At 56.3% G+C, this 21,204-nt stretch overlaps 1 protein-coding gene and 1 long non-coding RNA gene across 4 annotated transcripts, besides 7 other annotated features; one reads left to right on the top strand and one right to left on the bottom strand.

Annotated features, from left to right (window-relative positions):
- Positions 1-207: 207 nt before the first annotated feature.
- Positions 208-6,347, bottom strand: HMG20B (high mobility group 20B). Of its 2 annotated transcripts, none has more exons than NM_006339.3 (10): positions 6,297-6,347; positions 5,944-5,999; positions 5,491-5,599; positions 4,705-4,908; positions 3,631-3,751; positions 2,984-3,030; positions 2,666-2,738; positions 2,184-2,399; positions 1,178-1,310; positions 208-782 (listed from the first exon to the last, which is right to left on the bottom strand). In NM_006339.3, exons 2-10 carry the CDS (start codon positions 5,979-5,981, stop codon positions 770-772), a joined length of 954 nt encoding a protein of 317 aa, NP_006330.2. In that variant the 5' UTR covers positions 5,982-5,999; positions 6,297-6,347; the 3' UTR covers positions 208-769. The 2 variants fall into 2 exon arrangements, with proteins under 2 accessions (NP_006330.2, XP_016881633.1); XM_017026144.2 differs by having other exon boundaries at positions 2,984-3,027.
- On the top strand, positions 5,474-8,504 carry LOC124904618 (uncharacterized). 2 transcript variants are annotated; one of them, XR_007067100.1, is made up of 2 exons: positions 5,474-6,430; positions 7,636-8,504. It is a non-coding gene; the product is annotated as an uncharacterized LOC124904618 (long non-coding RNA). The 2 variants fall into 2 exon arrangements; XR_007067101.1 differs by having other exon boundaries at positions 5,474-6,746.
- Positions 6,081-6,170: a silencer, noted in NCBI's record as "silent region_9853". NCBI's record gives its function as "represses an Ori minimal core promoter by ATAC-STARR-seq in GM12878 lymphoblastoid cells {active_cell/tissue: GM12878}" and the evidence as "EXISTENCE:reporter gene assay evidence [ECO:0000049][PMID:35858748]".
- Positions 6,191-6,240: a silencer, noted in NCBI's record as "silent region_9852". NCBI's record gives its function as "represses an Ori minimal core promoter by ATAC-STARR-seq in GM12878 lymphoblastoid cells {active_cell/tissue: GM12878}" and the evidence as "EXISTENCE:reporter gene assay evidence [ECO:0000049][PMID:35858748]".
- Positions 6,261-6,400: a silencer, noted in NCBI's record as "silent region_9851". NCBI's record gives its function as "represses an Ori minimal core promoter by ATAC-STARR-seq in GM12878 lymphoblastoid cells {active_cell/tissue: GM12878}" and the evidence as "EXISTENCE:reporter gene assay evidence [ECO:0000049][PMID:35858748]".
- Positions 6,565-7,132: an enhancer, noted in NCBI's record as "H3K4me1 hESC enhancer chr19:3572157-3572724 (GRCh37/hg19 assembly coordinates)". NCBI's record gives its function as "activates a minimal SCP1, AML or CMV promoter by ChIP-STARR-seq in primed H9 embryonic stem cells {active_cell/tissue: H9 hESC(primed)}" and the evidence as "EXISTENCE:reporter gene assay evidence [ECO:0000049][PMID:30033119]".
- Positions 6,581-6,670: an enhancer, noted in NCBI's record as "active region_13739". NCBI's record gives its function as "activates an Ori minimal core promoter by ATAC-STARR-seq in GM12878 lymphoblastoid cells {active_cell/tissue: GM12878}" and the evidence as "EXISTENCE:reporter gene assay evidence [ECO:0000049][PMID:35858748]".
- Positions 7,133-7,701: an enhancer, noted in NCBI's record as "H3K4me1 hESC enhancer chr19:3571588-3572156 (GRCh37/hg19 assembly coordinates)". NCBI's record gives its function as "activates a minimal SCP1, AML or CMV promoter by ChIP-STARR-seq in primed H9 embryonic stem cells {active_cell/tissue: H9 hESC(primed)}" and the evidence as "EXISTENCE:reporter gene assay evidence [ECO:0000049][PMID:30033119]".
- Positions 20,866-21,160: an enhancer, noted in NCBI's record as "tiled region #8051; HepG2 Activating DNase unmatched - State 1:Tss". NCBI's record gives its function as "activates a minimal TATA promoter and a strong SV40 promoter by Sharpr-MPRA in HepG2 cells {active_cell/tissue: HepG2}" and the evidence as "EXISTENCE:reporter gene assay evidence [ECO:0000049][PMID:27701403]".

The following is a 21,204-nucleotide window of genomic DNA, read 5'->3' as shown; positions in this document are numbered from 1 at the left end:
AGGGATGGAGACACCTGCCCAGCCATTGACTTGCTCTGTGAACCCCGGCAAGTTTGGGCTCCCGTCTCCCTATCTGAGAAACTCTGAGGCTCTGCTAGAGGTAAAGAGAGCAGGCCTGGCGCCCCCAGCAGGGAATGTCATGGGGGGCCCAGGCTGCACCTTCTGAACCCTCCACACCACCCCAAACAAGCTTACACACTCACAAGCTTAAAACACAAATTTTACTTGTTTTTATTTAAAAAGTCCGGATCCAGCAGTGAGAAGGAGCCACCCCCACCAGGGTCCCTCGGCTGGAGGAGAGCAGGATGGGCAAAGCCGGCCCCCACCCATCTGGGGTACAGGCATGCGGGGGACACCCCAGGTAAGTCCCCACAAGGCAGCTTCCTGTGTGGCCTATGGCACAGCCCCCCGTAGTGAGTAATTTGGGGGGTCCTGCCGTGTGCTGGGGGTGGGTTTCGTCTGCCCTGTGTCCTGGGGGTGGCCCGGAGAGCCAGTGTAGCGCGTGGCTGTCCTCCGAGGAGGGGCACCCTCGGCTGTGAGGTTCTTCTGGGTGTATCGCGCAGCGAGTGCTTTTTCCGGGTTCAGGGGGCTGGGGAGATTGAAAGCTAAAGGGATGCTGCAGAAATTTAATTTTAGGGGGGCTGGAGCCCCCAAGGTGCAGGATGGGACCAGGCCCCAAAGGGTGGACCCCCAGCCTCTCGTCCACGGGGTGGGGTGTGGCAGGGCCGCGCCCACAGCTTCTCCTCTGCATCGTGGGCCCGCCCACTCCTCACAGGTGCTCGCTGAAACGAGAGAGGAGGGCCCGGGATGAGGCCCTCATCATCTCTGGCCCCCACCCCGGCCCTGGGGAACCCCAGAGACCATGGCCCATCAGCTGCTCCAACAGATGCCAGGGTTGGGGGACAGGCGTTGAACCTATCTAACCCGGGCGCTGGGATCCACCCTGAGAAGCTTTAGGGAAGTTCTGGTGCCCCCGAGTGGGTCCCGCCGGCCCGGGGTTCTCCATGGCCATCCTAGCACTGGTGCATCAGGGGCGACCGCAGGTAGGCCCCTCCGGGAGGTGATCTCTAGTAAGCTGCGGAGTCCCACCCAGCAGCCCTCGCGGACCTGGGGAACCCCAGGGCGGGCACATCCGGGCCTTGAACCCCGGCCCCGCCCCGCCTCGCCCGGCACACACCTGGCGACCTGGGCCAGGATTTCCTTGATGCGGACGATGAGCTTCTCGTGCTGGGCGGGGTCGCGCTCGATGGCTCCGTGAAGCCGGGCCATGTAGAAGTCCAGAGTGCCCAGCGTGGGCGTTTCGCCCGTGCCTGGGGGACAGGCGGGAAGGTCAGGCGAGGGTGCCGGGGAGTCGCGGGGCGGGGGCTCCAGGGGCAGCGGTAGGGGGTGACTCAGGGCGGGTCGCGCGGGCGCTCAGAGGTCCGGACACCGCCAGCGCAGGAGCGGCGCAGGGTGGGCTAAGGTAAGCCGGGGCAGGAGGATGGCGAGGACGGGGACAGGGTGGGGACGCGGGGCTAGAGCGGCGGGCGTCCAGGGTCCGCTGAGGACAGTCACGGACGGAGGGAACGAGGTCGGGGAGGTGGGGATGACACCGGGGGGCTGGGGTCGCGTGGGACGTGACTGGGGTGGTGGAGGGGGCTCAGGCGTCAGCGGGGCGTGGGGAGGGATGGGTGACGGGGGCGTGGGGAGGTGGGGTGAATGGGAACGTGGCGTGGCGAGCGGGGAGGCTGGGTCAGTGCTCAGGCTGGTCGGGGGCTGGCGAGGGAGAGGGGCCAGCGACGGTGGGGCCGGTAGGGAGCGGTGGGGGCGCGAAGGGTGGGGGCACAAAGGGGCTGCGGGAGGAAGCGAGTAAGCGGGGACGCGTCGGGAGAGGTCGTGGCCGGGAGGCGCGGTCGGTGGGGGCGAGGTCAGGGAGCCGGCCGAGTAACGGGGCGCGGAGCGGAGCTCGGGTGTGGTCTGGGAAGAACCAGACGGAGCTATGGGGTAGGGGTGCGGGGGTCGGGGAGGAGGCGGAGCTGGGGGTGATGAGGGCGGGGCGATAGGCGGGGCCGGGTGACTGGGGAAGAGGGGACGGGGCGATGGGCGGCGCCGGGCGACAGGGGAAGGGGGGAAGGGAGGAGGGGGGGGGAGGCGGGCGGGGCCGGGTGACCGGGGCGGGACTGGGAGATGGGCGTGGCCCGCACCCGGCACCGGCAGTGAGGCGAAGCTGGCGGTGAGCGCCTGGCGCACGGCCTGGAGCTGCTGCTGCAGCGCCAGCGTCCTCCGCTCCTCCAGCGCCAGCTCCTGCTCCAGACGCTCGCGCGCGCTGCTCATGCTCTGCGTGTGCCTCTGCAGTACCGCGTTCTGCTCCTCGAAGGCCACATTCATCTTCCGCAAGCGCCGAAGCTCCGCCTCACGCGCTGCGCCGGGGGGAGCGGGGTCAAAGCCTGCGCCTCCCCTTTCCCCTACCTCCGGGCTTTTGCCCGGGACGTGCCCCTGCCCAGGTTTCCCTCACTGCGCCCTCTGCCTCCTGCTCCACATCAGCCTCTGGAGCGACAGCGTGCGCCTGGACGCTCATAGGGAACCTCCCGATCCGCCTCCTGCAGTCTTGGGGCCCTCCTGGCCCACGCCCCCCTCTACCACCCAGTTTCACGGAGTTCGCATCAGGAGCGCAGTTACCGCTCACCTTTGTTTTGGTCCAAGAACTCTTCAGTGAAGATGGGAACATCGAAGGTGGAGAAGCCATCGCAGTCCCCACCCTAAGACGAAGGGACAAGGTGGCAATTTACTGGTGGTAGGAGGCAGCCACGCTCTCTGGGTGTGCCCCAAGCCTAGGAGGGTCTCCTGGGACACCCCGGTGGGAGTACAATCAACAGCGATCCCACGGTGCAGTGGCACCGCCCCTGCTTGCACACATCTGGGCGAGCACTGGCTCTGACTCAGGGTTCTAGAAGCCTCCAGACCTTTCTCCCCCAGGTGCTTTGAGAGGAAGAAGGTCGCTTACCTTGTGTCCATTCAGGAGAGTGTTCATGAGCCCAGAGCTCGAGTCTTCTGGCGGGGGAGGGGAAGGGCAGGGTCAGCCTCCCAGGCCTCCAGGGACCACGCCCTGCACCCTAGGTCAGCGCTGCTCAGCCGGCTCCAGCTCCCCACTTGAGTGCCCCGCGTCTGGGCATCCCCCATCGCTGTACCGAGTGAGCCCCCTTCACTCCTGTCTGGCTATGTATCTTTCCCCCGCCCAACCCACGGGACTGTGCCCCACGGAGGGAGGCCCTGCCTGGGCTGAGGTCGCACCCCACAGAGCAGGACCCCAACTGCTCGCACCGGCCCCTCCCACCTTTCATTTTTCTTTTTCTTTTTTTTTTTTTTTTGAGACGGAGTCTCGCCCTGTCGCCCTGGCTAGAGTGCAATGGCGCAATCTTGGCTCACTGCAACCTCCACCTCCCGGGTTCAAGCAATTCTCCTGCCTCAGCCTCCCGAGTAGCTGGGATTACAGGCACCCGCCACCACGCCCAGGTAATTTTTGTATTTTTAGTAGAGGGGGAGGGTTTCACTATGTTGGCCAGGCTGGTCTGACCTCAGGTGATACACCCGCCTCGGCCTCCCAAAGTGCTGGGATGACAGGCGTGAGCCACCGCGCCCGACCCCTCCCACCTTTCTTGATCTTCTTCTCCTGGATCTTCTCCGTGCACATCTTATAGGCTTCAGACTGCTGGTACGCCCGCAGCTCCTTCATGTACTGCTGCTTCTCTCTCTCGGCCTCATCCAGGTACCGCTGGGGGGCAGCACCAGAAGGCTTGAAGCAGGGGAAGCCTCCAACGCCAGGATCCAGTCTTTATCACTCTGCTTTCACAGCACCCTCCCCTCTCCTGAACCTTCTATAGCTCCCTATTCCCTCCAGGCAGACAGAACCGGCTCCTCAGCCTGTTGCTCAGGGACCTCCGAGCTCCCACCTCACTTCCCATGCCCCGGACTCTTCCCCACCTCCAGCCCTGACAAACCACTCCCGGACGCCAGAGTCATGGGCAGGAACCCAACCTCCAGCGTATGCGGATGCCTGGACTCCCTCCCGCACCCGTTTCTCTCTTTGAAATCTCACTTACAGGGATGCAAAGCAGTGATGGCTTTTGTTACATTTCCGTGATGTTTTTGCAATTTTTAAACTAACAGGATATGAAAATCGGGTTTCGCAAAAAATCCAGGCCCCATCCTGACTTCTTAGACATATCTTTGTTGGTCATCCAGTTTTCAATCTGTCTTGCCTCTTGCTAGCCGCGCCCCCAAAAGCTGGTCATGGGCTGGCCACGGTGGCTAACGCCTTTAATATCAATACTTTGGGAGGCTGAGGTGGGCGGATCATTTGAGGTCAAGAGTTCGAGACCAGCCTGGCCAACATGGCGAAACCCCATTTCTACTAAAAATACAAAAATTAGCAGGGCATGGTAGCACGCGCCTGTAATCCCAGCTACCTGAGAGGCTGAGACAGGAGAATTGCTTGAAGCCGGGAGGCGGAGGTTGCAGTGAGCTGAGATCACGCCACTGCACTCCAGCCTGGGCAACAGAGCAAGACTCCATCTCACAAAAAAAAAAAAAAAAAAAGTTGGTTATGGGTGGGCATTTCTCCAGGAAGAAGGAAAAACCCTGCACGTGGAATCCTTTGGGGGTCGGGGCTACTGGGGGGTAGTCCGTGGACCCCGCCAGCCCTGCTCGGCGCCCCGCCCCGCCCACCTGCTTTTCCGTTGGCTGCAGCTTGCTCCACTCGGCGCCCAGCATCTTGGTGATCTCGGGAAAGGGCAGATCCGGGTGGCGCGTGCGGATCTGCTCGCGCCGCTCGTTCAGGAAGCGCACGTAGCCCGTGACCGGTGCCTTGGGCCCATTCGGCAGAATCTTCTTCCGCTTCTTGCCCTTGGGCCAGCCGCGTTTCTTCACCGGCTGCAGAACCGGGCTGCGTCGTTGGGAGGGGGGCCTGGCGTACTGGGGCAGGGCTCAGAGGGGCATGGGCGGGGCCTAACGCGTATGGGCGGGGATGGGGGCGGGGCCTAGCTGGGAGGAAGAACCCGGAAAAGATGGAGGTAGGGCCCGGTCAGCAGTCGGGACACGGTGGGTTAGAGGGATCCCTGGCCAGGGGTGAGGGGATCTGAGGAACTATGGGCCGAGGTTTGAGTACAGGGTTGGCGTTGACTTCGGTTGTGGGCGTGGCCTCTGCTTGGTGGGCGTGGTTTTCTGCTGGAGAACGGGCCCACAGGACCAAGGGGAGGGTGCCGCCCCCAAGGAGTGGAAGTGGGCGGGACCTTAGAGTGGGCAGAGCTGGCATTGTGCGGTGGGCGGGGCCTGGACTTAGAGTGGCAGAGGACCTGTCAGGGGCGTGGCAGCTGGCACGGGGCGGGGTCTCAGCTTCCAGAGGAAAATGGGCTGTGGGCGGAGCCACAAGCAATTCAAATCCAGCCTGGGGCGGGGCTTCGAGGCTGGGGCGGGAGCCCGGGGCCTCCCCCAGCTCAGCGCAGGGACTCTCACCTCCTCCTCGTGGGACCCCTTCTCGCCCGCGCGTGGACCCTCGCCGCGCTCTTGCTTGACAGTCACCACGAAGCCCCCATGCTGGCCCGGAGCCTTGCCGCCCGCCGGCCTGGAGCCAAGGATACCGCGGTCAGCCCCGTCCCAAGAATCTCCCCTCCCCCAAAAGCCCACCCCAGGGCGTTTTGACCCCCGACGGCGGGGCTGCAGCGAGAGTGCATGAGCCCGAGGAGGCAGGGTCTGATGGGGTCAGTATCCGGGGAAGGTGGGACAAGCGGGGCTCCTGGGAGGGACTGGAGGCCGAGGTGGGGGGTGCAGAATTGGGTGGAGGGAGAAGCCCCCTGACCCAGGTGGGGGAGTCAAGACTCCGGCGGGAGGGACTGGGTCAGGGGTTCAGGAGCTAGGGCTGCAGCCGGGAAAGTAGCGAGGGCGTGGGGAGGGGATCAGTGCACTCACGCGGCGGCCGCGCCGGGCTGCTTGGGGCCGTGGGACATGGCCGCTCCGGGCCGGACCTGGAACACGGACGCGGGCGGAGGTGAGTAGCGCCCGGGCTGCCCGATGGCAGACCGCGAACTGGGGTACCCCGCGATGGAGAGCCCCGGGATGCCGGGCCCGGAGCGCTGGGGGGGCCGGATCCAGGGGCAGGGAAGTCCTCGAGGGCGGGCGCCCCAAGAATCCTTTGTTGGGCGATTGCCCCCCCCGGGAGGCCTGGGCCGGTTTCCCCCGGGCCAGGAAAGACCCCGGCCCGGCCCTGGGACCCCTGCACCCCCGCCCCCTCTCAGGGCCCGGAGTTCCGCGGCTGTTTTCACCTCCAAAGAAACTTTCCCGGACCTCCCGACTGCGCGACGCTCCAACCAACCGCCCGCAGCCCGCCCCCGTCGGCCGCCCCGCCCCTCCCCGCCCCCGGCATGCTAATGAAGGCCTCGGCGAACGGTCCCATTGGGTGAGACCTTCCCCCCGGGCGAGCCCATGCAGATACCGATCGGCGCGCCGGCCGGCGATTGGTTGGGGAGGTTGCTGAGTCGCGTGGGAGGTTGGTAAGGAAGGCTGCGGGCGGTGCGTCAAGTTCGGCTGCGCTCGGCCGCGCTCGGGACCAATCGGGAGCGAGTGGCGGACTTGCCGGGCGGAGCCTCTTAAAGGGCCAGTAGGAGAGGCGCGGACTCCTCCTCCCTCTCTGAAGGCAAGACTCCCAGCCGCTGCCGGATGGGGCGACCGGCGGATCCGGGTCGGGCCCCGCCCCGGTTGCCATGGGGACGGAGGTGGGTTGCTAGGGTTAAGGTCCTGCGAGGCAGTCCCCAGCCCTAGGCAAGGTGGGACCTGTTCTTAACATCCTGCAAAACCTAGCGGAGAAGTTTCCTATGTATTTACTCAGTTTAGAGCCCCCGACGTCCGGATCCGAGGGCTTCTGGCCATAGGGGCTGCTCTCCCTCTGGGGTCTCGGCTTTCCCCCCTGTGCAACGGGGACATCACACGATATCCAGGACAGAGAGACTGGGATGCTGGGAAGCTGAGAACTGGGTGTGGGTCAGGCAGGGGGTGGGGTTGGGAGCTGGGCTGGAAGTGTTTGGGGAAAGATGGTGGTGAAGGGAGATGGCAAGGACTTCGTGAGGATGGGTCAGGAGGCTCCGCTCTGGTGGATCAGGGACCTCCCAGCAGCAGTCTAGGCTTCTGGCCCAAGTTGGGGCTGCTCACCTCCTCTTTTGTTTTTGAGACGGAGTCTCACCCTGTCGTCCAGGGTGGAGTGCAGTGGCTGGATCTCGGCTCACTGCAACCTCTGCCTCCCGGGTTCAAGCAATTCTCTGCCTCACCCTCCCGAGTAGCTGGGATTACACGCGCCTGCCACCACGCCCGGCTAATTTTTGTATTTTTAGTAGAGACAGGGTTTCACCATCTTGGCCAGGCTGGTCTTGAACTCCTGACCTCGTGATCCACCCGCCTCGGCCTCCCAAAGTGGTGGGATTACAGACGTGAGCCCCCACGCCCGGCCCACTTCCTCTTCCTCAAGTCCGCTTAAATGTCACTTGCTCAGCCAGGCCTTCTCTGATTTTTTTTTTGCCTCCATAAGTCGGCTTCTCCCTGTGGCCTGCCTGTTTGGTTCACAGCATTGCCCATGGTGGATGCTCAATACACATTCATTGAATCCTTCAGATGTCTAGGAGGCAGATGCAGCTGCTTTGGAAAACAGACTGGCATTTCCTCAAAGGGTTAAATAAATGTGGAATCACCATGCAATTCAGCAGTTCACTCCTAGGAATATACTCCAGACAACTGAAAACAGGTGTTCAAACAAAAGCGTGTACACAAGCGTCGGTAGCAGCGTGATTCATAATAGCCAAAAAGTGAAAACAACTCAAACGTCTGCTAATGATGCATGGATCGATGACGGGATATATCCTTACAACAGAATATTATCCGCCATGGGCCGGGCGCAGTGGCTCACGCCTGTAATCCCAGCACTTTGGGAGGCAGGCGGATCACTTGAGGTCAGGAGTTCGAGACCAGCCTGGCCAACATGGTGAAACTCCAGTTCTATTAAAAATACAAAAACTAGCCAGGCGTGGTGGTGCACGCCTGTAATCCCAGCTACATGGGAGGCTGAGGCAGGAGGATCCCATGAACTGGGAGGCAGAGGTTGCAGTGAGCCAAGATTGTGCCACTGCACTCCAGCCTGGGCAACAGAGCAAGACTACGTCTCAAAAAAAAAAAAAAAGAATATTATCAGCCATAAAAAAAAGGAGCGAGTCTCTGACACAAGTCACAGCATGGATGTACCTAGAAGACATCACACTCAGTGAGAGACGCCAGACACAAAGGTCACACAGTGTGTGATCAGAATGTTCAGGAAAGGCCCATCCACAGAGACAGGAGGGGGACGTGTGGGTGCCAGTGGGTGGGGAATGACCACTGAGAGGGATGCGGTTTTCATTTGGGTGATGAAAGTATTTTACAATTTGATTTCAGTGATGGCTGCGTGACTCTGGAAATATATTACAAACCATGGAATTGTATGCTCTAAATGGGTGCATTATATGTGAGTTAAGTCTCAATAAGCCCATTGTCCTAAGATGCAGCCCGGGGCTGAGGAAGAGGAGCTGGCCCTGGAATCTGGACGGTTCCACACGCCAGACCTGGCTCTGTTGCTTAATCAGCTCTCTGACCTCCCAGGCCTCCCCTGTGTCTCTCTGCTCACTTAAAAATAGTCTAGGTGAGGCTGGGTGTGGAGCCACCCCTCCCGGCCATAGTCAATAACAATTTAATTGAACATTTATTTTATTTTGTTTATTTATTTTATTTTATTTTATTTTATTTTTTTGAGATGGAGTCTTGCTCTGCCGCCCAGGCTGGAGTGCAGTGGCACCATCTCGGCTCACTGCAACCTCTGCTTCCCGGGTTCAAACGATTCTCCTGCCTCAGCCTCCCAAGTAGCTAGGATTACAGACATCCGCCACCACGCTCGGCTAATTTTTTTTTTTTTTTTTTTTTTAGTAGAGACAGGGTTTCACCATGTTGGCTAGGCTGGTCTTGAACTCCTGACCTCAGGTGGCCGCCCGTCTCGGCCTCCCAAGGTGCTAGATTGCAGGGGTGGGCCACTGCGCCCGGCCTTTTTGTTTGTTTTTTGTCATTTATTACTATGATTTATTTGCCAGTTTTTATAGCATGAAGCCAGGAACAGTATACCAATTTATAATCCTAGAGGTGGAAGCTCTCCATTAAGGATGACTTGCCTTATAATTCTTTGGTTTTCTAATTAATTTTTATTATGCAAATCATGTTCACATCCATTTCACTTGTACAGAATTAAGGAAGTGCAGCTCAGACCTCTTTAATTTCATTACATTTCCTATCGTCAGCTTATTGCTTTTTTTTTTTTTTTTTTTTTTTTTTTGAGACAGAGTCTCGCTCTGTCGTCCAGGCTAGTGTGCAGTGGCGCGATCTCGGCTCACTGCAAGCTTCACCTCCCGGGTTTACACCATTCTCCTGCCTCAGCCTCCCAAGTAGCTGGGACTACAGGTACACGCTGCCACGCCCGGCTAATTTTTTTGTATTTTTTAGTAGAGATGGGGTTTCACCGTGTTAGCCAGGATGGTCTCGATCTCCTGACATTGTGATCCACCCGCCTTGGCCTCCCAAAGTGCTGGGATTACAGTCGTGAGCCACTGTGCCAGGCCTTTTTTTTTTCTTTTTTTTTTTTTTGAGATAGAGTTTCATTCGCCCAGGCTGGAGTGCAGTGGCGTGATCTTTGCTCACTGCAACCTCCGCCTCCCAGGTTCAAGTGATTCTCCTGCCTCAGCCTCCTGAGTAGCCGGGATTACAGGCACGTGCCACCAAACCCAGCTAATGTTTGTATTTTTAGTAGAGACGGGGTTTTGCCATGTTGGCCAGGCAGGTCTTGAACTCCTGACCTCAGATGATCCGCCCACCTTGGCCTCCCAAAGTGCTGAGATTACAGGCGTGAGCCACTGTACCCGGCCGCATCTCTTTTTAAAATTTTTCCTAGCCACACTCACACACACACACACACACACACACACACACACGCACACCACACTGCATTGGTTTGCTAGGTAATAATTACGACAAACTGAGGGGCTTAAACAAGAGAAATTTATTGTTTCACAGTTCTGGAGGCCAGAAGTCCAAGAGGAAGGTGTGGGTAGGGCTGGGGCCTTCTGAGGGCGGGGAGAGAATCTGTCCCTGGCGTCTCCCAGTTTCTGGCATTGGCCAGCAATCCTGGGCTTTTCTTGTCTTGTAGGAGTGACACCCCGATGTCTGCCTGCATCTTCATGTGGGGTTCTCCCTATGTGCGTGTCTGCACCCAAATTTCCTCTTTTGATAAGGACAGCAGTCATACTGCGTCACGGCCCACCCTAATGATGTCATCTTAACTCATTATATCTGCAATGACCTTTTTCCAAATACGGTCACATTCTGAGGCCTTGGGGATTAGGACAGGAACCTGTGCATTCTGTGGGGACATGACTCCACCCACAGCACATGCCTACACACGTACACATGTGCGTATTCCTAATAAAGACGTGGGCTGGGCGCGGTGGCTCACGCCTGTAATGCCAGCACTGTGGGAGGCCGAGGTGGGTGGATCGCTGGAGGTCAGGAATTTGACACCAGCCTGGCCAACATGGAGAAACCCTGTCCCTACTAAAAACACAAAAATTGCCAGGCACGGTGGCTCACACCTGTAATCCCAGCACTTTGGGAGGCTGAGGTGGGAGGATCACGAGGTCCACAGTTCGAGACCAGCCTGGTCAACATGGTGAAACCCCATCTCTACTAAAAATACAAAAATTAGCCGGGCGTGGTGGCGGGCACCTGTAATCCCAGCTACTTGGGAGGCTGAGGTAGGAGAATAGCTTGAACACGGGAGGCAAAGGTTGCAGTGAGCGGAGATCCCGCCACGGCACTCCAGCCTGGGACAGAGCGAGACTCCGTCTCAAAAAAAAAAAAAAAATTTTTTTAACGTGAATATATATTTTTTATTTAGTCATTTTTGCTTACAGTTGAAACTCTAGAGAATCTGCGTGAAACTAGATGGCAGCCGGCTCATAAAGGTTCATTTGGACAAGGCACAGCAGAACAATATGGAACACAAGGTTGAAACTTTTTCTGGTGTCTATAAGAAGCTCATGGGCAAGGATGTTAATTTTGAATTCCCAGAGTTTCAATTGTAAGCAAAAATGACCAAATAAAAAATGTGTATTCACAGTTAAAAAAAAAATTCTACAAAAAAGTAAAACCACAAAAATTAGCTGGGCATGGGGGTGCACGCCTGTAGTCCCAGCTACTCAGAAGGCTGAGGCAGGAGAATCACTTGAACCTAGAGGCGGAGGTTGCAGTGAGCTGAGATCGTGCCACTGCACTCCAGCCTGGGTGACAGAGCGAGACTCCCTCTCAAAAAATAGTAAATAAATAAATAAAAATATAGGCTGGGCGTGGTGGCTCCCGCCTGTAATCTCAGCACTTTGAGAAGCCAAAGTGGGCCGATCACCTGAGGTCAGGATTTCAAGAACAGCCTGGCCAACATGGCAAAACCCTGTCTGTACTAAAAATACAAAAAGTAGCCACGCATGGTGGTGCACACCTGTAGCTCCAGCTACTCAGGAAGCTGCGGCACAAGAATTGCTTGAACCTGGGAGGCAGAGGTTTCAGTGAGTCAAGATCGAGCCACTACACTCCAGCCTGGGCGACATGGCGAGACTTTGTCTCAAAAAAATAAATAAATAAATAAAGTGAGGTCCTGGCCAGGTGCAGTAGCTCACACCTGTAATCCCAGCACTATGGGAGGCTGAGGCAGGAGGATTGCTTGAACCCAGGAATTTGAGGCCAGCCTGGACAACATAGTGAGACCCTGTCTCTACAAAAAAAAATAATAATAAAAGTAAGCAAACAAATGTGAGGTCCTATTCTGCTGTGTATTATACCAGTGCCTTCATGCTGTAAGCTTCAACTGCAACCAGTTCTGTTTACTCAATAATATCGCTCAGATAAAGGGTATTTTTTACTATTATTATTTTTTGAGACATGGTGTCTCGCTGTGTCACCCAGGCTGGAGTGTAGTCATCGGATCTCAGCTCACTGCAACCTCGAACTCCTGGGCTCAAGTGATTCTCCTGCTTCAGCCTCTCGAGCAGTTGGGACCACAGGTATGCACCACCACATCTGGCTGATTATTTTAATTTTCGTACAGATGGGGTCTTGCTTTGTTGCCCAGCTCCCAGGCTAGAGTGCAGTGGCTCAGTCTCAGCTCCCTGCAACCTCCACCTCCCTGCAACCTCCACCTCCCGTGTTCAAGTGATTCACGTGCCTCAGCCTTCAGAGTAGCCAGGGTTACAGGCACACATCGCCATGCGAGACTAATTTTTGTACTTTTAGTGGAGATGAGGTTTTGCCATGTTGGCCAGGCTGGTCTCAAACTCCTGGCCTCGTGATCCTCCTGCCTCAGCCTCCCACAGTACCACAGTACCACAGTACTGGGATTACATGCCCCCATTAATTTTTTTTTTTTTTTTTTGAGATGGAGTCTCTCTCTGTCGCCCAGGCTGGAGTGCAGTGGCGCCATCTCTGCTCACTGCAAGCTCCGTCTCCCGGGTTCATGCCATTCTCCTGCCTCAGCCTCCCGGGTAGCTGGGACTACAGGCGCCCGCCACCACACCCGGCTAAGTTTTTGTATTTTTAGTAGAGACGGGGTTTCACTGTGTTAGCCAGGATGGTCTCAATCTCCTGACCTCGCGATCCGCCCGCCTCGGCCTCCCAAAGTGCTGGGATTACAGGCATGAGCCACCGCGCCTGACCTTAAATTTTTAATAGATATTAATCAACATGGATGTGTGGACTTTTCTCCACCACCCAGGGAGAGTCAGGGTGTGGTTGGTTCTCCCAGGCCACGGACAATCTCAAGCCTCCTGGGGCTTTTTATAGAGGCAACTTCATACAGGCATTGCTTAAACAGATGCTGGAGAGCTGAGAAGGCGACAGGGAAGCGGAAAGAGAGCTACTGCCCCTAGCATCCCCTGGCCCCGGGGCTGGCAGAACACAGGGCTGGTGGGACAGGGATCTCAGGCCTCTGAGGAGGGGCACCCCACTGCTGCTGGGCCCTCAGGAACTCAGGGAAGCAATCTGAGCCTCAACTGTGGGACTTGGGCAATTTACTCAACTTCTGTGCCTCAGTTTCTCCATCTGTTAAGTGGGATAATTGCTTTGTCTACCTTTATGACGTTGCTGGCTGGGATTGTCCAGGGAGAATCAAACACCTGTTACAGAAAACGCTCTAGCTCAGTGGTTCTCATCCGGGGCCAACTCTGTCACGCCAGGAAATACCTAGTAATGTCTAGAGAGATTTTTCATTGTCGGACTAGGGGGGTGCTACTGGCATCTACACGGTTGAGGCCAGAGATCCTACACGGCCCCCACCACAAAAAATGATGTCCCAAACGTCAGGAGTACCGAGGTTGGTCAGGCACAGTGGCTTACGCCTGGAATCCCAGCACTTCGGGAGGCCGAGGCGGGCGGATCACCTGAGGTCAGGGGTTCGAGACCAGCCTGGCCAACATGGCGAAACCCCATCTCCACTAAAAAGACAAAAAACTTAGCCGGATGTGGTGGCACACGCCTATACTCCCAGCTACTCGGGAGGCTGAGGCAGGAGAACTGCTTGAACCCAGGAGGCGGAGGTTGCAGTGAGCTGAGATCGCACCGGTGCACTCCTGCCTGGGCGACAGAGCGACTCTCCGTCTCAAAACACAACACAACAACAAAAAGCTCCGAGTTCCAGGCCCTGCCGTGCCAGGAGGTCACCGCGCTTCGTTACAGCTCCTCCCCGTTTTGCTCTCAGCGCAAGGACTGACCAGCATCAACGTTAAAACGTAAATCACAAGACTCACAGAATGCGCTCCTTCTGGCAATGGTAGACCAGATACTGAACAGGACCTGAGGCCAGGAGGGTCCTGGCAAAGACTGAGTCACGCAAAGACTGACTGAAGAGGCCGGGCGCAGTGACTCACGCCTGTCATCCCAGCACTTTGGGAGCCCGAGGCGGGCAGATCATGAGGTCAGGAGTTAGAGAGCAGCCTGACCAACGTGGAGAAACCCCCGTCTCTACTAAAAATACAAAAACTTAGCCAGGCGTGGTGGCAGGCACCTGTAATCCCAGCTACTCAGGAGGCTGAGACAGGAGAATCGCTTGAACCTGGGAGGAGGAGGTTGTGGTGAGCTGAGATCGTGCCACTGCATTCCATCCTGGGCAATAGAGCAAGACTCCGTCTCAAAAAAAAAAAAAAAAAAAAAAAGAGTTCGTCCTTCCTTCCCTCCCTCCCCATCCTTTTTTTTTTTTTTTTTTTGAGACTGGGTCTCACTCTGTCGCCCAGGCTGGAGTGCAATGGCGCGATCTCAGGTCACCACAACCTCTGCCTCCCAGGTTCAAGCAATTCTCCTGCCTCAGCCTCCCGAGTAGCTGGGATTATAGGTGGCCACCACCATGCCCAGCTAATGTTTTTTTTGAGATGGAGTCTCACTCTGTCGCCGAGGCTGGAGTGCAATGGCCAGACCTCGGCTCACTGCAACCTCTGCCTCCCGGGCTCAAGTGATTCTCCTGCCTCAGCCTCCCGAGTAGCTGGGATTACAGGCATGCACCACCAGGCCTAGATAATTTTTTGTATTTTTAGTAGAGATGAGGTTTCACCATATTGGCGAGGATGGTCTCAGACTCCTCATCTCAGGTGACCCACCTGCCTCGGCCTCCCTAAGTGCTGGGATTACAGGTGTGAGCCACCGCGCCCGGCCAAGTTGTGTGGTTGAAGCCTCCTGGTATTCTGTTTGGTTCGGTTACTCTCACCTCACCCCCATTTTACAGAGAGGGCAACTGAAGCTTGGTGGCTTGTCAGGGACTGCCCAGATTTGATCCTGGCTTTGCTCCCCTGCTCCCCCGCCTCCACCGTGGCCACCCTCAGATATAAGGAAGTTTCAGTGCAGCCTCAGGAACCCTCACTGCCCACCCCCCCACCTCTGTCACCCCAGGCCTGGGTCACAGAAGATCAAGGAAGCCTCTAGTACTTGACATTCCCCACCCCACCCCGAGGCTGGACTGCGGCCATCAGGACATCCGATGTCCGGCCAGGGGAGGGGGAACGCAGGCTTGGCGTCAGGGGGCTGCTGGTGATGGGCTGGGGACATCAGACTGTGAGGATCTCTCCTGACTCCTCTGTCCTACCCCGAGGGCCTGAGCTTTCATCATGCCTTCCTGACATCTCTAGACAGGGCCTTCTCTGATCTTTACCCTCACGTCCAACCCCCACTCTTGTTGGGGCACATGTCCTCTCCTGTGGCTTCCCCACGCACGCAGCTGAGGCCTTCATTTGGAAGAAGCCCTTCCTCATCTCCCACTGGACTTTTTAATCTGACTCAGTCCCACCCTCCCTCTAACCCCTACCATGGCTCCCTAGTGACCTCAGGGTAATGTCCCAACTCCTCACCTACCTTGTAACCGCCCTTCTTGGTCTGACTCCTCCAGTCCTGTCCCTGATGAGGGGAACTGGGAGGGGTCATCCCTGTCTCCCCTCAAAAGCAGGGGCTTCAGAATCTTTGGGGCTCCTCAGCAAGAGGTCAGACCTAGTTCCTGCTCACCCCACAAAGTCAGGGCTAGGAAATATTAGCTGGCTTCAAAGGGACAAAAACAGAGGCCAGGTGCCGAGGCTCATGCCTATAATCCCAACACTCTGGGAGGCTGAGCCGGGAGGACCACTTGAAGCCAGGTGGTCGGGACCAGCCTAGGCAAAATGATGAGGCCTCATCTCTACAAAAAATTTAAAAATACTTTGGGTGGCCAGGCGCAGTGCCTCACACCTGTAATCCCAGCACTTTGGGAGGCCGAGGCAGGGGGATCATGAGGTCAGGAGATCGAGACCCTCCTGGCTAACACAGTGAAACCCCATCTCTACTAAAAATACAAAAAATTAGCCGGGCGTGGTCGTGGGCGCCCGTAGTCCCAGCTACTCAGGAGGCTGAGGCAGGAGAATGGCGTGAACCTGGGAGGTGGAGCTTGCAGTGAGTGGAGATGGCGCCACTGCACTCCAGCCTGGGCGACAGGCGAGACTCCGTCACAAACAAACAAACAAAAATACTTTGGGTGGCCAGGCGCGGTGGCTCACGCCTGTAATCCCAGCACTTTGGGAGGCTGTGGCAGGCGGATCACTTGAGGTCAGGAGTTCGAAAGCAGCCTGGCCAACATGGTGAAAACCATCTCTACTAAATATACAAAAATTATCTGGGGGTGGTGGCGCTCGCCTGTAGTCCCAGCTACTCGGGAGGCTGATACAGAACTGCTTGAACCCAGGAGGCAGAGGTTGCAGTGAGCGGAGACTGCGCCATTGCACTCCAGCCTAGGTGACAAAGCAAGACTCTGTCTTCAAAAACAAAAACAAAAAAACTACGTTGGGTATGGTGATTCATGCCTGTGATCTCAGCACTTTGGGAGGTCAGGAATTTCGAGAACCGACCCACAACATGGCGAAACAGCAACATGGCGAAACCCCGTCTCTACTAAAAAATACAAAAAATTAGCCGAGCGTGGTGGCAGGTGCCTGTAAGCCCAGTTACTTGGGAGGCTGAGGCAGGAGAATCGCTTGAACCCGGGAGGTGGAGGTTGCGGTGAGCCGAGATCGTGCTACTCCACCCCAGCCTGGGCGACAGAGCAAGACTCAGTCTCAAACAACAACCACCACAACAGCAAAAGGACAAGAATGCAGAGATGTGTTGGCGCTTTAACCACACCCTGCCTCCTCCGCTGGATCTTCTCCAAAGGGAGGCGGGATTGTGCCTGATTCTCGACCTACAAAGGAGGCTGAAAAAGCAGTGGACAGTGAGGCACCTGTTCCTCCACACTCAGGTGGCATTCCGCAGCCAGCACATAAAGAGGTCACGTGGAGCTGAGTTCAAATCCCACATCTGCCTCTTGTTAGTCCCATGCCCGCCACAGTCCCATGCCCATGCCCGTCTTTGTGAAACTCAGTTTCCTTATCTGTAAAAGAGGCATGAAGGGCTGGGCGCAGTGGCTCGCACCTGTAATCCCAGCACTTTGGGAGGCCGAGGCGGGCGGGTCACCTGAAGTCAGGAGTTTGAGACCAGCCTGGCCAAGATGGTGAAATCCCGTCTCTACTACAAATACAAAAATAAGCTGGGCGTGGTGGCGGGCGCCTGTAATCCCAGCTACTCGGGAGGCTGAGGCAGGAGAATCGCTTGAACCCGGGAGGTGGAGGTTGCAGTGAGCCGAGATCGTACCATTGCACGCCAGCCTGGCGACAAAGTGAGACTCCATCTCAAAAAAAACAAGAAAAGGCAGTGGAGGGGGTCATGAAGGCTGCACACTGTGCCTCACGTCTGTAATCCCATCTCTTTGGGACCAGTCAGGGCAACATAGCAAGACTTCCATCTCTGAAAAAATTAGCCAGGTGTGGTGGCAGGCACCTGTAGTCCCAGCTACTCAAGAGGCTGAGGCAGGAGGATCTCTTCAGCCCGGGAGGCCAAGGCTACAGTGAGCTGTGGTCACACCACTGCACTCCAGCCTAGGTGACAGAGCAAGACCCTGTCTCTAAAAATAAAAATTAATAATAAAATAAAATAATAGAGCATGAAGTGGTGTAAGACCTCCTAGGGATCTTGTGGGATGAAAGGAGATGAGGAATGGGAAAAACATTAGTTTTTTTGTTTTTGTTTTGAGACTGAGTCTCACTGTGTCACCCAGGCTGGAGCACAGTGGTGCGATCATAGCTCACTGCAGCCTTCGTTTCCTGGGCTTCAGTGATCCTCCCACAGCAACCTCCGGAGTAGCCAGGACTCCAGGTGTGCACCACCACACCTGGCTAATTTTGTTGTTGTTGTTGAGACAGGGTCTTCCTCCGTCGCCCAGGCTGGAGTGCAGTGGCGCGATCTTGGCTCACTGCAACCTCCACTTTCTGGGTTCAAGCGATTCTCCTGCCTCAGCCTCCGGAGTAGCTGGGTTACAGGCACCCACCACCACGCCTGGCTAATTACTGTAATTTTTTTTTTTTTTTGAGATGGGGTCTTGGTCTGTCCCCCAGGCTAGAGTGCAGCGGCACGATCTCAGCTCACTGCAACCTCCACCTCCCGGATTCAAGCCGTTCTCCTGCCTCAGCCTCCCGAGTAGCTGGGATTATCTGCGCCCGCCACCACGCCCAGCTAATTTTTGTATTTTTAGTAGAGACAGGGTTTCACCATCGTGGCCAGGCTGGTTTCGAACTCCTGACCTCGTGATCCACCCGCCTTGGCCTCCCAAAGCGCTGGGATTACAGGCGTGAGCCACCGCGCCTGGCCCAATTTTTGTATTTTTAGTAGAGACGGGGGTCTCACCATGTTGGCCAGGCTGGTCTCGAACTGCTGACCTCAAGTGACCCCTTCACCTTGGCCTCCCAAAGTGCTGGGATTACAGGCGGGAGCCAGGATCCCTGGTCCCTAGGCTAATATTTCAAAAAGTCATCTTTCATTTCCCTCAGAGGACTCTAAAGGGGAACGTGCCAGGAGGACTCTAAGTGGGAACGTGCCAAACAGAGAGGAAGGAATTGAGGTTCTTATCTCTCCTCAACCCTTTATCTCCCCGAGTCGTCTGCCCCTTATCTCTCCTCCTTCCTTTCTAGGTTCTGTGTCTTGACCTCTTTTACCCCTCCCGCCCATTTTCAGTCTAGTTTTCATAAAACAGTGTGTGACCTGCATCACCGTGGGCAGCCGGGGCCGTGGACCCCTTGGCTGTTTGAGCCTTGGGTTTTGTTTTGTTCTGGTTTTTGAGACGGATCTTCGCTCTGTCGCCCAGGCTGGAGTGCAGTGGTGCGATCTCAGCTCACTGCAACCTCAGCCCTCCCAGGTTCAAGAGATTCTCCTGCCTCAGCCTCCCAAGTAGCTGGGATTACAGGCACAGCCACCACGCCCAGCTATTTTTGTATTTTTAGTAGAGATGGGTTTTCACCATGTTGGGCAGGCTGGTCTCGAACTCCTGAGCTCAAGTGATCTGCCCACCTTGGCCTCCTAAAATGTTGGGATTACAGGCTTGAGCCACCGCACCTGGCCTAATTTTTAAAATTTTTTATAGAGATAGGGTTTCAGCACATTGCCCAGGCTGGTCTTGGACTCCTGGGATCAAACAATCCTCTCACCTCGGCCTCCCAAAGTGCTGGGATTACAGGCATGAGCCACCATGGCAGGCCAATTATATAACTCCTGTACCCGTTCTAGATCAGGGGAGACCCAAGCTCCAAGAGGTTAAAAGACTTGTCCCAGGCTGGGCGCAGTGGCTCACGCCTGTAATCCCGGCACTTTGGGAGGCCGAGGCGGGCAGATCACAAGGTCAGGAGATCGAGACCATCCTGGCTCACACGGTGAAACCCCCGTCTCTACTAAGAATACAAAAAATTAGCCGGGCACGATGGCGGGCGCCTGTAGTCCCAACTGCTCCGGAGGCTGAGGCAGGAGAATGGCGTGAACCCGGGAGGTGGAGCTTGCAGTGAGTTGAGATCGCGCCAGGGCACTCCAGCCTGGGCGAGAGAGCCAGACTCCGTCTCAAAAAAAAAAAAAAATAAAATAAAAATAAAATTACAAAAATTAGCCGGGCGTGTTGGCGGGCACCTGTAATCCCAGCTACTCAGCAGGCTGAGGAAGGAGAATCTCTTGAACCCAGGAGGCGGAGGTTGCAGTGTTCTGAGATCGTGCCACCGCACTCCAGCCTGGGCGACAGAGCCAGACTCCGTCTCAAAAAAAAAAAGACTTGTCCCAAGTGGAGCAGCAGAGAATCAGTGGAACCAAGTCTGGATCCAACGATTCTCCTTCCATACTGCAAGGACCTTTTGTTTTGTTTTGTTTTGTTTTAGAGCTGGGGTCTTGCTGTTGCCCAGGTTGGAGTGCAGTGGTGCAATCATACCTCACTGCAGACTGCAAGGCCAAATATACTGCTGTAGGCCGGGCGCGGTGGCTCGTGACTGTAATCCCAACACTTTGGGAGGCCAAGGCGGGTGGGTCACTTCAGTTCAGGAGTTTGAGACCAGCCTGGCCAATATGGGGAAACCCCGTCTCTACTAAAAATACAAAAATTAGCTGGGCGTGGTGGTGGGTGCTCGTAGTCCCAGCTACTCGGGAGGCTGAGGCAGGAGAATCGCTGGAACTCGGGAGGCAGAGGCTGCAGTGAGCTGAGATTGCAACACAGCACTCCAGCCTGGGTGACAGACGGAGACTCCATCTCAAAAAGAGAGAGAGAGAGAGAAAGAAAGAAAGAAAACTGCTGGAGACCCGCCCGATGCAGAGGCTCATGTTTGTAATCCCAGAGCTTCTGGAGGCCAGGGTGGGAGGCTTGCTTGAGACCAGGAGTTTGAGGTCAACCTAAGCATCATAGTGAGACCCTGTCTCTCCAAAATTAAAAATACAAAAGTTAGCCACATGTGGTGATGCGTGCCTGTAGTCCCAGCTACCTGGGAGGCTGAGACAGGAGGATTACTTGAGCCCTGAAGATTGAGGCTGTAGTGAGCCATGATTGCACCAATGCACTGCAGCCTGGGCCACAGAGCAAGACCGTTTCTTTCTTTCTTTCTTTCTTTTTTGAGGCGGCGTTTCACTCTTGTTATCCAGGCTGGAGTGCAATGGCGCGGTCTTGGCTCACTGCAACCTCTGCCTCCTGGGTCAAGCGATTCTCCTGCCTCAGCCTCCAAAGTAGCTGGGATTACAGGCACCTGTCACCACGCTCGGCTAATTTTTGTATTTTTAATAGAGACGGGTTTCACCTTGTTGGCCAGGCTGGTCTCAAACTCCTGACCTCAGGTGATCCGCCCGCCTCGGCCTCCCAAAGTGCTGGGATTACAGGCGTGAGTCACCGCGCCCGTCTCAAGACCCTGTTTCTGAAATAAATAAAAAGAGGAAAGAAGAGAAAATGCTGCTGGAAGGAGTAGGGCCTGAGTTAGGGGGAACCGCACACACCCCCTGGAGGAACTTGAAACCCTCAGTCCGGTGACCCGTTTGTGGGAGGACGTTGGTTGGACGGGGAGGGTCGCGCGCACAGGCCTGGGAGTCACAGACGCCTGACTCACTGCGAGCCTCGGGCAACTCTGTTCCTCGCCTGTAAAATGAGAGTGAAATTTGCGTCACCACGTGGGGCTCTTTGCAGGCAACGCTCGTTAAAGGCCAGCTGGTACTATTATGTTGATTACCCCCATC

The sequence above is a fragment of the Homo sapiens genome, chromosome 19 (assembly GCF_000001405.40).
Source record: "Homo sapiens chromosome 19, GRCh38.p14 Primary Assembly".
Lineage (NCBI taxonomy): Eukaryota > Metazoa > Chordata > Mammalia > Primates > Hominidae > Homo > Homo sapiens.
The sequence above is the reverse complement of the archived record's forward strand: the minus strand, read 5'-3'. Positions and strand labels throughout refer to the sequence as shown.

Bases quoted from the DNA above. Each gene is read 5' to 3' on its own strand.
- HMG20B (NM_006339.3), bottom strand. From the start codon at position 5,981: ATGTCCCACGGCCCCAAGCAGCCCGGCGCGGCCGCCGC. The intron at 4,909-5,490 runs GTGAGAGTCCCT...CCGGTTCTGCAG, and splicing joins AGGGGTCCCACGAGGAGGAG to CCGGTGAAGAAACGCGGCTG. The intron at 3,031-3,630 runs GTGGGAGGGGTC...CTCCCCCGCCAG, and splicing joins GGAGAAGAAGATCAAGAAAG to AAGACTCGAGCTCTGGGCTC.